Source organism: Homo sapiens, chromosome 5, assembly GCF_000001405.40.
Source record: "Homo sapiens chromosome 5, GRCh38.p14 Primary Assembly".
Classification (NCBI taxonomy): domain Eukaryota; kingdom Metazoa; phylum Chordata; class Mammalia; order Primates; family Hominidae; genus Homo; species Homo sapiens.
In genome coordinates this window covers 122,265,364-122,278,204 of record NC_000005.10, presented here as the reverse complement: position 1 = coordinate 122,278,204, position 12,841 = coordinate 122,265,364, and the positions used below count along the sequence as shown (strand labels likewise).

At 37.1% G+C, this 12,841-nt stretch overlaps 1 annotated feature.

Moving 5' to 3' along the window:
* Positions 10,333-11,532: an enhancer, noted in NCBI's record as "MED14-independent group 3 enhancer chr5:121602368-121603567 (GRCh37/hg19 assembly coordinates)". NCBI's record gives its function as "activates an origin of replication core promoter dependent on BRD2, BRD4, P300/CBP and CDK7 cofactors, and independent of MED14, by STARR-seq in HCT116 cells {active_cell/tissue: HCT116}" and the evidence as "EXISTENCE:reporter gene assay evidence [ECO:0000049][PMID:35650434]".

Here is a 12,841-nt window from a genome sequence, read left to right as displayed (position 1 = left end):
TGGGATTAAGGCACACATCACCATGCCCACCTAATTGTTTTGTACTTTTAGTAGAGACAGGGTTTCGCCATGTTGGCCAGGCTGGTCTCGAACTCCTCACCTCAGGTGATCCACCTGCCTTGGCCTCCCAAAGTGGTAGGATTACAGGCGTGAGCCACCGTGCCCAGCTGAAAATTTTAAAAACTTTGATGAAGTCTAAGTTATTAATTTTATCTCATATGGATTGTGATTTTGGTGTCAAGTCTTAGAATTCTTGCCTGACCCTACATCTCCAAGATTTTCTCCTATACTTTTTCCTAAAAATTTCAGAGTTGTATGTTTTACATTTAAGTCTGTGACCCACTATGAGTTAACTTTTGTATAAGGTATAAGATTTAGGTTGGATTCATTTTTTCCTATTGTGTTCCAGTACCATATGTTGAAAAATGTACTATAGTTTTGAAGCTGCTATCATTGATGGAAGCTGGGTAGAAGGTACATAGAATCTCTCTGTATTATGCCTTAAAACTGTTTGTGAACCTCCAATTATCTCAAATTAAAAATCTACCTATCCTCCATTGAATTACTTTTGCATCTTTGTCAAATATCAGTTGAGCATATTTTGTGTGGGTCTATTTGTGTGGGCTCTTTATACACTTCCATCGATCCTTATATTTATCTATCCACCAATATCAGACTGTCTTGATTACACTCTATCTATATAGTAGGCCTGAATATTGGGTAGAGTGATTCCTTCTACCTTATTCCTTCCTCGAGATGGTTTCAGCTATTCTAGGATCTATGCCTTTCCATGTAAATATCAGAATAAGCTTGTCCTGTGTATGCCTACAAAAAACCCTTAGTGGAATTTTTATAGGAATTGTAAACCTATAGATTAATTTGGAGGGAATTAACATCTTTACTATGTTGAAATTTCCAGTCCACAAATGCAGCATGCCTTTTCATTTATTTAGGTCTTTGACTTTTTTTTAATCAGCATTTATAACTTTCAGCATACAGATGCTGTATGTGTTTTGTTAAGTTTATACTTAAGTATTCCTTTTTTTCTTCTGAAAGATCCTAATGGTATTGTGATATTAATTTTTGTTTCCACATGTTCTTTCTTTGTGTATAGAAATGTGATGAATTTTTCTCTGTTAATTTTGTGTCCTACAACCTTGCTGAGCTTCTTAGTTTTAGGAGTAGTTTTGTGTGTGTGTGTGGATCCCTTAGGATTTTCTACACAGTTTGTCACCTGCAAAAAGGGACAGTTTTATTTATTCCATTCTAATATGTGTGAGTTTCTTTCTTTCTTTTTTTTTTTTTTGTCTTACTGAAATGGCTAGAACTTTGAGTACTATGTTTGAGATATGGAGCCAAAAAAGAGACCGCATTGCCAAGTCAGTCCTAAGCCAAAAGAACAAAGCTGGAGGCATCATGCTACCTGACTTCAATCTATACTACAAGGCTACAGTAACCAAAACAGGATGGTACTGGTACCAAAACAGAGATATAGATCAATGGAACAGAACAGAGCCCTCAGAAATAATGCCACACATCTACAACTATCTGATCTATGACAAACCTGACAAAAACAAGAAATGGGGAAAAGATTCCCTGTTTAATAAATGGTGCTGGGAAAACTGGCTAGCCATATGTAGAAAGCTGAAACTGGATCCCTTCCTTATACCTTATACAAAAATTAGTTCAAGATGGATTAAAGACTTACATGTTAGACCTAAAACCATAAAAACCCTAGAAGAAAACCTAGGCAATACCATTCAGGACATAGGCATGGGCAAGGACTTCATGTCTAAAACACCAAAAGCAATGGCAACAAAAGTCAAAATTGACAAATGGGATCTAACTAAACCAAAGAGCTCTGCACAGCAAAAGAAACCACCATCAGAGTGAACAGGCAACCTGCAGAATGGGAGAAACTTTTTGCAACCTACTCATCTGACAAAGGGCTAATATCCAGCATCTACAATGAACTCAAACAAATTTACAAGAAAAAAACAAACAACCCCATCAAAAAGTGGGAGAAGGATATGAACAGACACTTCTCAAAAGAAGACATTTATGCAGCCAAAAAACACATGAAAAAATGCTCATCAACACTGGCCATCAGAGAAATGCAAATCAAAACCACAATAAGATACCATCTCACACCAGTTAGAATGGCGATCATTAAAAAGTCAGGAAACAACAGGTGCTGGAGAGGATGTGGAGAAATAGGAACACTTTTACACTGTTGGTGGGACTGTAAACTAGTTCAACCACTGTAGAAGTCGGTGTGGCAATTCCTCAGGGATTCAGAACTAGAAATACCATTTGATCCAGCCATCCCATTACTGGGTATATACCCAAAGGATTATAAATCATGCTGCTATAAAGACACATGCACAAGTATGTTTATTGTGGCACTATTCACAATAGCAAAGACTTGGAACCAACCCAAATGTCCAACAATGATAGACTGGATTAAGAAAATGTGGCACATACACACCATGGAATACCATGCAGCCATAAAAAATGATGAGTTCATGTCCTTTGTAGGGACGTGGATGAAGCTGGAAACCATCATTCTCAGCAAACTATCGCAAGGACAGAAAACCAAACACCACATGTTCTCACTCATAGGTGGGAATTGAACAACGAGAACACATGGACACAGGAAGGGGAACATCACACACCGGGGCCTGTTGTGGGGTGGGGGGAGGGGGGAGGGATAGCATTAGGAGATATACCTAATGCTAAATGACGAGTTAATGGGTGAAGTACACCAACATGGCACATGTATACATATGTAACAAACCTGCATGTTGTGTACATGTACCCTAAAACTTACAGTATAATAAGAAAAAAAAAGAGTGGTAAGAACGAACATCCTTGCCTGAGTCTTTCACCATTAAGTATATTAACTGTAGGTGTTTTGTAGATGTGTTTTTATCAAGTTGAAGACATTTCTCCTGCTGAGGGTTTTTCTTATGATTGTATGTTGATTTTGTGAAATGTTTTTTCTGCATTAATTGATATGCTCATATGAGTTTTCTTCTTTAGCCTGGTCATATGGTAGATTATGTTGATTTTCAAATGTTGAAGCAGACTTACGAACCTAGAATAAATGCCACTTGGACATGTTTATAATAATTTTTATACACTGCTGGATTCCATTTGCTAATGTTTTGTTGAGGAATTTTGTATCTAAGTTCATGAGAGATATTGACCTATAGTTTTCTTTTTCTGTTTTGTCTTTGTCTGATTTCAGTATTAGGGTAGTATTATCTTCATAAAGCGAGATGAGAAATCTTTCCTCTTCTATTTTCTGGAAGGGGTTGTATAAAATTGGGTTTAGTTATGCAAATGTTTGGTAGAATTCTTCAGTGAAACCATATGTGCCCAGTGATTTTTTTCTCAGGAGCTTTGAAATTCCTAATTCAGTTTGGTGTTTGTAGGACTATTTAGTTTGCTTATTTCATCTTGGTTGAATTTGGTAGCTTGTGGATTTTCAAGTTCATTTCTTCTCAGTTATCAAATTTACGAGCACGAAGTCATTTGTGGTATTCCTTTATTCTCCTTTTGACATCTATAGGATCTGTATTGATAGGCCCTGATTTATTTCTGATGTTGTTGATTTGTGCCTCCTCCATCTTTCTTTCTCATCAGTCTTACTAGAGATTTATCAATTTGATTTTTTCATAGAACCAGCTTTTTTTCCATTGAATTTTCTCTATGGTTTTCCTGTTTACAATTCTGCTAATAAATGCTCTTAGTTTTTATTATTTCTTTCCATCTGCTCAATGATCTTAAAAGTTTATTTTCTATATTTATATTTTTCATTTTAAAAGCTGATGATTTCTGAATTGACATGATGGTTCATAAATATGATTTCAATTGTGTTAAATACTGAATAATCCTTAAATTGATAACAATGTTCTATATTTAATGTTTAAAGGTGACAAAAAGTTTAGATAGAAAACAAAAATCAGCTAATTGGCACATAATAAGTTAATGTATTTAAGTTTCCATTTGAAGTGATTCTGGGAATTTACAAGAATTCATTCTGAATCTAAAAAGTCATATCTGAGAAAAAAATTTCAACACACCTCTAAATCACTGTGCTCAGATATGTTGAGACCTAAGAAATTTCTATAAGGGTTCTTTCTTCCAAGGAGAGACAGGGAAACTGCAGAGTAGAAAATAAACTGAATTACCCACACAGGAAAGAGGGGATCTTTTAGCTGAAATATAGCTGGAAAATTTAGGTAGAGGTCTTACACGAGAGAGAAAGAAAGGCAGAAATGTCTGAGTCAGAGAAAGATAGCTCCCTAAAGAGAAGGAGGCTGCCAAAAAGAGCAGGGGCTTGCAACTGAGCTGCATTGTGAAAAAATGTAGAGAAAAGAAGACCTTTCTTTAAAAAACACATATATGTTTTTAAGGAAGTAAAGATCAAGATCAGAAGTAAAAATTCTAGTTAATTAATCTTTAGAAATTTATTAATTCAACTTACAGTCCCTGCCCTCTTGAAGCTTACAATTTAGTCAGTTGATTCTGTTTCATTAAATTGTTTTAAAGCACATTACACTTAAAATAGAAGTTTATATATTAGTTTATACTTTAATAGCTAATAAGAGATGATGTTTTTAAAATTATAACTTTTAAACTTATATGAATCCCTGAAGTTTAGCCAGTGTGTCTGCTTTAACAATGAGTCTCATTGAGCTACAGTGAACTGAATTTTCTATAGACTAAAAACTGATGAGAAGTTAGATGCTCATTGTTTATGTCTGCTGGAGTATAAGTGCAACCGATAGGTAATTCTATTCTGTTTTTAAAAGTTAGCTTCGAATATTAGTTTCTCTCCAGTCTCTGAAGAGGCTGTGTTTCTATTTTACTTCTCTTTTTTCTTTAGCTCCCTAAATATAAACCTATCTCAATGTTTCATCTTCAGGTCATTCCTCTTCTAGTCTTAAATTCTTTTTAAAAATTTTTTATTTACTTTTTTCCCATAAGTTATTGGAGTACAAGTGGCACTTGGTAACATGAGTAAGTTCTTTAGCAGTGATTTGTGAGATTTTGGTGCACCCATCACCCTAGCAGTGTACACTGCACCATATTTGTGGTCTTCTATCCCTCACCCCCGTCCCACTCTTCCCTCCAAGTCCCCAGAGTTCATTGCATTATTCTTATGCCTTTGTATCCTCACAGCTTAGCTTCCACATATCAGTGAGAACACATGATATTTGATTTTCCATTCCTGAGTTACTTCACTTAGAATAATAGTCTCCATTCTCAGCCAGGTCACTGCAAATGCTGTTAATTTATTCCTTTTTATGACTGAGCAGTATTCCATTGTATATATATATACCACAATTTCTTTATCCACTCATTGATTGATGGGCATTTGGGTTGGTTCCATGATTTTGCGATTGTGAATTGTGCTGCTGTAAACATGTGTGTGCAAGCATCTTTTTCGAATAATGACTTCTTTTCCTCTGGGTAGATACCCAGTAGTGGAATTGCTGGATCAAATGGTAGTTCTATTTTTAGTTCTTTAAGGAAGCTCCACACTGTTTTCCACAGTGGCTGTACTAGCTTACATTCCCACCAGCAGTGTATAAGTGTTCCCCATTCATTGCATCCACACCAGCATCTACTGTTTTTTGATTTTTTGATTATGGCCATTCTTGCAGGAGTGAGGTGGTATCACATTGCAGTTTTGATTTGCATTTCCCTGATCATAAGTGATGTTGAGCATTTTTTCATATGTTTGTTGGCCATTTGTATATTTTCTTTTGAGAATTGTCTATTCATGTCCTTAGCCCACTTTTTCATGGGATTGTTTTTTTTTTTTTCTTACCGATTTGTTTGAGTTCGTTATAGATTCTGGATATTAGTCCTTTGTCAGACATATGGATTGTGAAGATTTTCTCCCACTCTGTGGGTTGTCTGTTTACTCTGACTGCTCCTTTTGCAGTGAAAAATCTCTTTAGTTTAATTAGGTCACAGCTATTGATCTTTGTTTTTATTGCATTTGCTTTTGGGTTATTGGTCATGAAATCCTTGCCTAAGCCAATATCTAGAAGGGGTTTTCCAATGTTGTCTTCTAGAATATTTATAGTTTCAGGTCTTATGTTTAAGTCCTTAATCCATCTTGAGTTGATTTTTGTATAAGGTGAGAGTTGAGGAATCAGTTTCATTCTCCTACATGTGGCTAGCCAATTATCCCTGCACCATTTGTTGAAAAAGATGTCCTTTCTCCACTTTATGTTTTTGTTCGCTTTGTCGAAGATCAGTCGGCTCTCAGTATTTGGGTTTATTTCTGGGTTCTCTATTCTGTTCTTTTGGTCTATGTGCCTATTTTTGTACCACTACTACACTGATTTGGTGACTATGGCCTTATAGTGTAGTTTGAAATCAGGTAATGTGAGGCCTACAGATTTGTTCTTTTTGCTTAGTCTTGCTTTGGCTATGTGGGCTCTTTTTTGGTTCCATATGAATTTTAGAATTGTTTTTTTCTAATTCTGTGAAGAATGATGGTATTTTGATGGAGATTGCATTGAACTTGTAGATTGCTTTTGGCAGTATGGTCATTTTCACAATATTGATTCCACCCATCTATGAGCATGGGATGTGTTTCCATTTGTTCGTGTAGTCTATGATTTCTTTCAGCAGTGTTTTGCAGTTTTCCTTGTAGAGGTCTTTCAACTCGTTGGTTAGGTATATTCCTAAGTCTTTTATTTTTTTGCATCTGTTGTAAAAGGGGTTGAGTTCTTGATTGGAACTGAAACAATTTGAACTTGCTTCATTGCTGTTGGCGTATAGAAAAGCTACTGATTTGTGTACATTAATCTTGTACCCAGAAACTTTGCTGAACTATTTTATGATTTCTAAGAGCTTTCTGGAATAGTCCTTAGGGTTTTCAAGGTAAACAATCATATCGCCAGCAAACAGCGACAGTTTGACTTCCTCTTTACTGATTTGGATGCCCTTTATTTATTTCTCTTGTCTGATTGCTCTGGCTAGGACTTCCAGTACTATGTTGAAGAGGAGTGGTAAGAGTGGGCATCCTTGTCTTGTTCCAGTTATCAGAGGGGATGCTTTAAACTTTTCCCTATTCAGTATTGTGTTGGCTGTGGGTTTGTCATAGATGGCTTTTATTACACTAATGTATGTCCCTTGTATGCTGATTTTGCTGAGAGTTTTAATCATAAATCAATGCTGGATTTTGTCTAATGCTTTTTCTGCATTTACTGAAATGATCATGTGGTTTTTGTTTTTAATTCTGTTTATGTGGGGTATCACATTTATTGACTTGAGTATGTTAAACCATGCCTGCATCCCTGGTATGAAACACACTTGATCATGGTGGATTATCTTTTTGATGTGTTGTTGGATTCAGCTGGCAAGTATTTTGTTAAGGATTTTAGCATCTATGTTCATCAAGGATATCAGTCTTCAGTTTTCTTTTTTGGCTATGTCCTTCCCTGGTTTTGGTGTTAGGGTGATCCTGGCTTCATAGAATGAATTAGGGATGGTTCCTTCTTTCTCTATCTTGGGGAATAGTGTCAAAAGGATTGGCACCAATTCTTCTTTGAATATCCGGTAGAATTCTACTGTGAATCCATCTGGTCCTGGACTTTTTTTGTTGGTAATTTTTAAATTACCATTTCAATCTTGCTGTTTGTTATTGGTCTGTTCAGGGTATTTAACTCTTCCTAATTTAAGCTAGGAGGGTTGTATTTTTCCAGGACTTTGTCCGTCTCTGCTAATCTTCTAGTTTATGTCCGTAAAGGTGTTCATAGTATCATTAAATGATCTTTTGTATTTCAGTGGTGTTAGTTATATCTCCTGTTTTGTTTCTTAGTGAGGTTATTTGGACTTTCTGTCTTTTCTTGGTTAATCTCGCCAATGATCTATCAATTTTATTTATCTTTTCAATGAACTTTTTGTTTCTCTTATCTTTTGTATTTTGTTGTTGTTGTTGTTTGTTTCAATTTCATTTAGTTCTGCTCTGATCTTGGTTATTTCCTTTCTTCTTCTGGGTTTGGATTTGGTTTGTTCTTGTTTCTCTAGTTCCTTGAGGTGTGACCTTAGAGTGTCAGTTTGTGTTCTTTCATTCTTTTTGATGTAGGTGTTTAGGGCCATGAACTTTCCTCTTAGCACTGCCTTTGCTGTATCCCAGATGTTTTGATAGGTTTTGCCATTATTGTCATTTAGTTCAAAGAATTTTTAAATTTCCATCTTGATTACATTTTTTTGACCCAGTTCTCATTCAGGAGCAGGTTATTTAGTTTCCATGTATTTGCATGGTTTTGAACGTTCCTTTTGGAGCTGACTTCCAGTTTTATTCCACTGTGGTCTGAGAGAGTGTTTGATATAATTTCTATTTCCTTAAATTTATTTAGACTTGTTTTATGACCTACCATATTGTTGATCTTGGATAAAGTTCCACGTGCTGTCGAATAGAATGTGTATTCTGCAGTTGTTGGATGAAATGTTCTGTGTATATCCCTTAAGTCCATTTGTTCCAGGGTATAGTTTAAATCCATTTGTTTCTTTGCTGGCTTTCTGTCTTGATGACCTGTCTATGCTGTCAGTGGAGTATTGAAGTCCTCCTCTATTATTGTGCTGTTGTCTATCTCATTTCTTAGGTTTATTAGTAATTGTTTTATAAATTTGGGAGCTCCAGTGTTAGGGACATATATGTTTAGAATTGTGACATTTTCCTGTTGGACAAGGCCTTTTACACCTTTTACCATTATATAATGTCCCTCTTTGTCTCTTCTAACTGCTGTTGCTTTAAAGTTTATTTTGTCTGGTATAAGAATAGCTGACCCTGCTTGCTTTTGGTGTCCATTGGCATGAAATGCCTTTTTCTACCCCTTTACTTTAAGTTTATGTGAATCCTTGTGTGCTAGGTGAGTCTCCTGAAGGCAGCAGATGGTTGGTGTGTTCTTATCCATTCTGCAGTTCTGTATCCATTCTGCAGTTCTGTATTTAAGTGGAATATTTAGGACATTTACATTCAATGTTCATATTAAAATGTGAGGTACTGTTGCGTTCATCGTGTCTTTGTTGCCTGTGAACTTTGGTTTTTTGTTTTTGCTTTTTAACTTGTATTTTTGTTTTATAGGTCCTGTGTGATCTGTGCTTTAAAGAGGTTCTCTTTTGATGTGTTTCCAGGATTTGTTTCAAGATTTAGAGCTCCTTTTAGCAGTTCTTGCAGTGGTGGCTTGGTAATGGCGAATTCTCTTAGCATTTGTTTGTCTGAAAAAGACTAGATCTTTCCTTCATGTATGATGCTTATTTTCACTGCATACAAAATTCCTGGCTGATAATTGTTTTGTTTGAGGAGGCTGAAGATAGGACCCCAGTCCCTTCTAGCTTGTAGGGTTTCTGCTGAGAAATCTGCTATTAATCTGATAGGTTTTCCTTTATAGGTCACCTGGTGCTTCTGTCTCACAGCTCTTAAGATTCTTTCCTTCGTCTTAACTTTGGATAACCTGATGACAATGTTCTAAGCAAAGATCTTTTTGTGATGAATTTCCTGGGTGTTCTTTGTGCTTCTTGTATTTGGATGTCTAGGTCTCTAGAAAGGCTGCGGAAGGTTTCCTCGATTATTCCCCCAAATATGTTTTCCAAGCTTTTAGAATTCTCTTCTTCCTCAGGAACACTGATTTAGGTTTAATTGTTTAACATAATCTCAGACTTCTTGGAGGCTTTGTTCATATTTTCTTATTCTTTTTTCTTTATCTTTTTTGGATTGGGTTAATTTGAAGACCTTGTCTTCAAGCTCTGAATTTCTTTCTTCTGCTTGTTCAATTCTATTGCTGACTTTCCAGAGAATTTCACATTTCTAAAAGTGTGTCCCAAGTTTCCTGAATTTTTTATTGTTTTTTTCTTTAAGCTATCTATTTCCTTGAATATTTCTCCTTTCACTTCTTGTATCATATTTTAAATTTCCTTGCATTGGGCTTTGCCTTTTTCTGGTCCCTCCCTGATTAGCTTAATAACTAACCTCCTGAATTCTTTTTCAGGTAAATCAGGGGTTTCTTCTTGATTTGGATCCATTGCTGGTGAACTAGTGTGATTTTTTGGGATTGTTGAAGAGCCTTGTTTTGTCATATTACCAGGGTTGGTTTTCTAGTTCCTTCTCATTTGGGTAGGCTCTGTCAGAGGGAAGGTTTAGGGCTGAAGGCTGTTGTTCAGATTCTTTTGTCCCATGGGGTGTTCCCTTGATGTAGTACTCTCACCCTCTTCCTATGGATGTGGCTTTCTGTGAGCCAAACTGTAGTGATTGTTGTCTATCTTCTGGGTCTAGTCACCCAGCAAGCCTACCCAGCTCTGGGCTGGTACTGGGGGTTGTCTGCAAAGCATCCTGTGATGTGAAAGGGTCTCTCAGCTGTGGACACCAGTGCCTGTTCTGGCAGAGGGGGGTGCGGTGGACTCCATGAGGGTTCTTAGCTTTGGTGGTTTAATGTTCTATTTTTATGCTGGATAATCTCCTCCTAGGAGGTGCTGATTTCCAGAAAGCATCAGCTGTGGTATTATGGGAAGGAACTGGCAATGGATGGGGCCCTAGAACTCCCACGATTATATGCTCTGGTTTTTCTGCTACCAAGGTGGGTAGGGAAGGACCATCTGAGCTCAGACTCTCCTTGGGCGGATCTTGCTGTGATTGCTGTGGGGTATGGGGATAAGATTCCCAGGTCACGGGAGTTTTGTATCTAGGAGGATTATGGCTGCCTCTGCTGAGTCACGCAGGTTGTCAGGGAAGTGAGAGAAAGCCACCAGTCACAGGCCTCGCCCAGCTCCCACGCAAACTGAAGGGCTGGTCTCACTCCCACCGTTCTCTCCCTGCTACAGCACCCAGACAGTTTCCAAGCAGAGAGCAATACAGGCTTGAAAACCTGCCCCAGGCTATCTGCCTTCCAACTGTGAAAGGAAAGGGCTTGGTTCTTCCCCAGCTTGTGGAGTCTGCACACTGGATTTGCACACTCCCCTGAGTTCTGGCCAGTAGGTTTCTCACCCCATTCAAATTGTTGCAAATTTCAGCTAAAGATTTCCTTCTCGCTGTGGAGTTTTACCCCCTGTTCCTCTCGTGTTGGATCCCTGTGGTGCCAGGCAGGAGTGGCCTGCTAGGGGACCCAGCAAGCTCCCAGGGCCTTTCTGCTGCTTCCTCTACCCCTGTATTTCACTCAGCTCTCCAAATTGACTCCACTACAGGTAAAGACGAAAACTTCTCCTGCAAACAGACCTTCAGCTTCTCCAGTGGGGGTGTGTGTCTGGGAGTGAAGGCTCTCCCTTTCCCACTTCCGCAGTTGGGGCACTCACAGTTTTGGGGGGTCTCCTAGGTCCTGCAGGAGCAGTCTGCTTCCTTCAGAGGGTCTGTGGGTCCTCTCGGGATTGCTGGTTTTTTCTTGCAGTTGATCTGAAGCTAAAATTCACAATATGAGCCACTGGCTGCTCTGTCCAGAGCTGCAATCTAGCCCAGACTACTGCCCGCCATGATCCTAATCATAATATCTTAAATTCTACTACATCTCATTCTGAAATGTCTGTCTTTCTCCAATTGCTCCCCACTCCAAATCTGTGAAACTCCCATATGTACTTTCAAATCCAGCTCAGAAGTCACCTTGTCTGGAAAGTCATCCATAAATACTTCTTTCTAGAAGTCTTTTTATTCTTGTATATACTGCTTGTGCTAACATCTACTGTATTACACTGTATTTTATTTTACAGTTACCTTCCTAAGTAGACTTGATGACAGAGATTGGGTCTTATGACTCTAGTATTCCAAGTCCTTAGCACAGGGAAATTGCTTGGTAATAAATGCTGTTGAATGAATGAATACTTTTATATATAAGCAAGCAATGGCTATGTAATACATATACAAAAATACCTAGCATATTCAGAGTATGCTTCTTTTTCTTAAGTAATAAAAAGATAGTTTAAAAGACATTTTTAACACTTCATGTACTTATATGACATATATTTAGTGCTAATCAATAAAGCTAAACTTTATGAAAGAATTAATTCTAGTTAAGAAATGATGTCTCTTGCCTTAAAAATTACTATAAAGGAAATGAGAAGATTTGTCATAGCCTGCAAAGACACAGATATGCAAAATACATGTCTGAAAGGACTGTTATCTAAAACACACGAAGAACTCTTAAAACTCAACAATGACAAAAAGAATAACCTGATTTTAAAATGGGCAAAAGACCTGAAGAGGCACCTCACAAAGATGATATACAGATGCCAAATGAGGATATGAAAAGATACTTCACATCATATGTCATTAGGGAATTGCAAATTAAAGCAGCAATGAGATACCACTTACATCTACAAGAATTGCCAAAATCCAGAACACCACTGACAACACTAAATGCTGTGATTATGTAGAGCAACAGGTACTCTCATTAATTGCTTGTAGGAATGCAAAATAGTACAGCCATTTTGTAAAGCAGTTTGATAGTGCAAAATAGTATGGCCATTTTGTAAGGCAGTTTGGTAGTTTTTTTTTTTTTTTTAAAGAGACATATTCTTACCATACAATCATGGTCCTTGGTATTTACTCAAGTGAATTAAAAATTTATGTTGATGAAAAACCCATTCACAGATGTTTATAGCAGCTTTATTCATAATTGTTCAAAATTGGAAACAACCAAAATATTTTCAGTTAGGTGAATGGATAAACTGTGGTATATACAAACAACAAAATATTATTTAGCACTAAAACAAAGTAAGCTATCAAGCCATGAAAACACATGGAGGATATTAAATGCATATTATTAAGTGAAAGAAGTGAATCTGAAAAGGCTACATACTCTGGTTCCAACTATATGCATTCTGG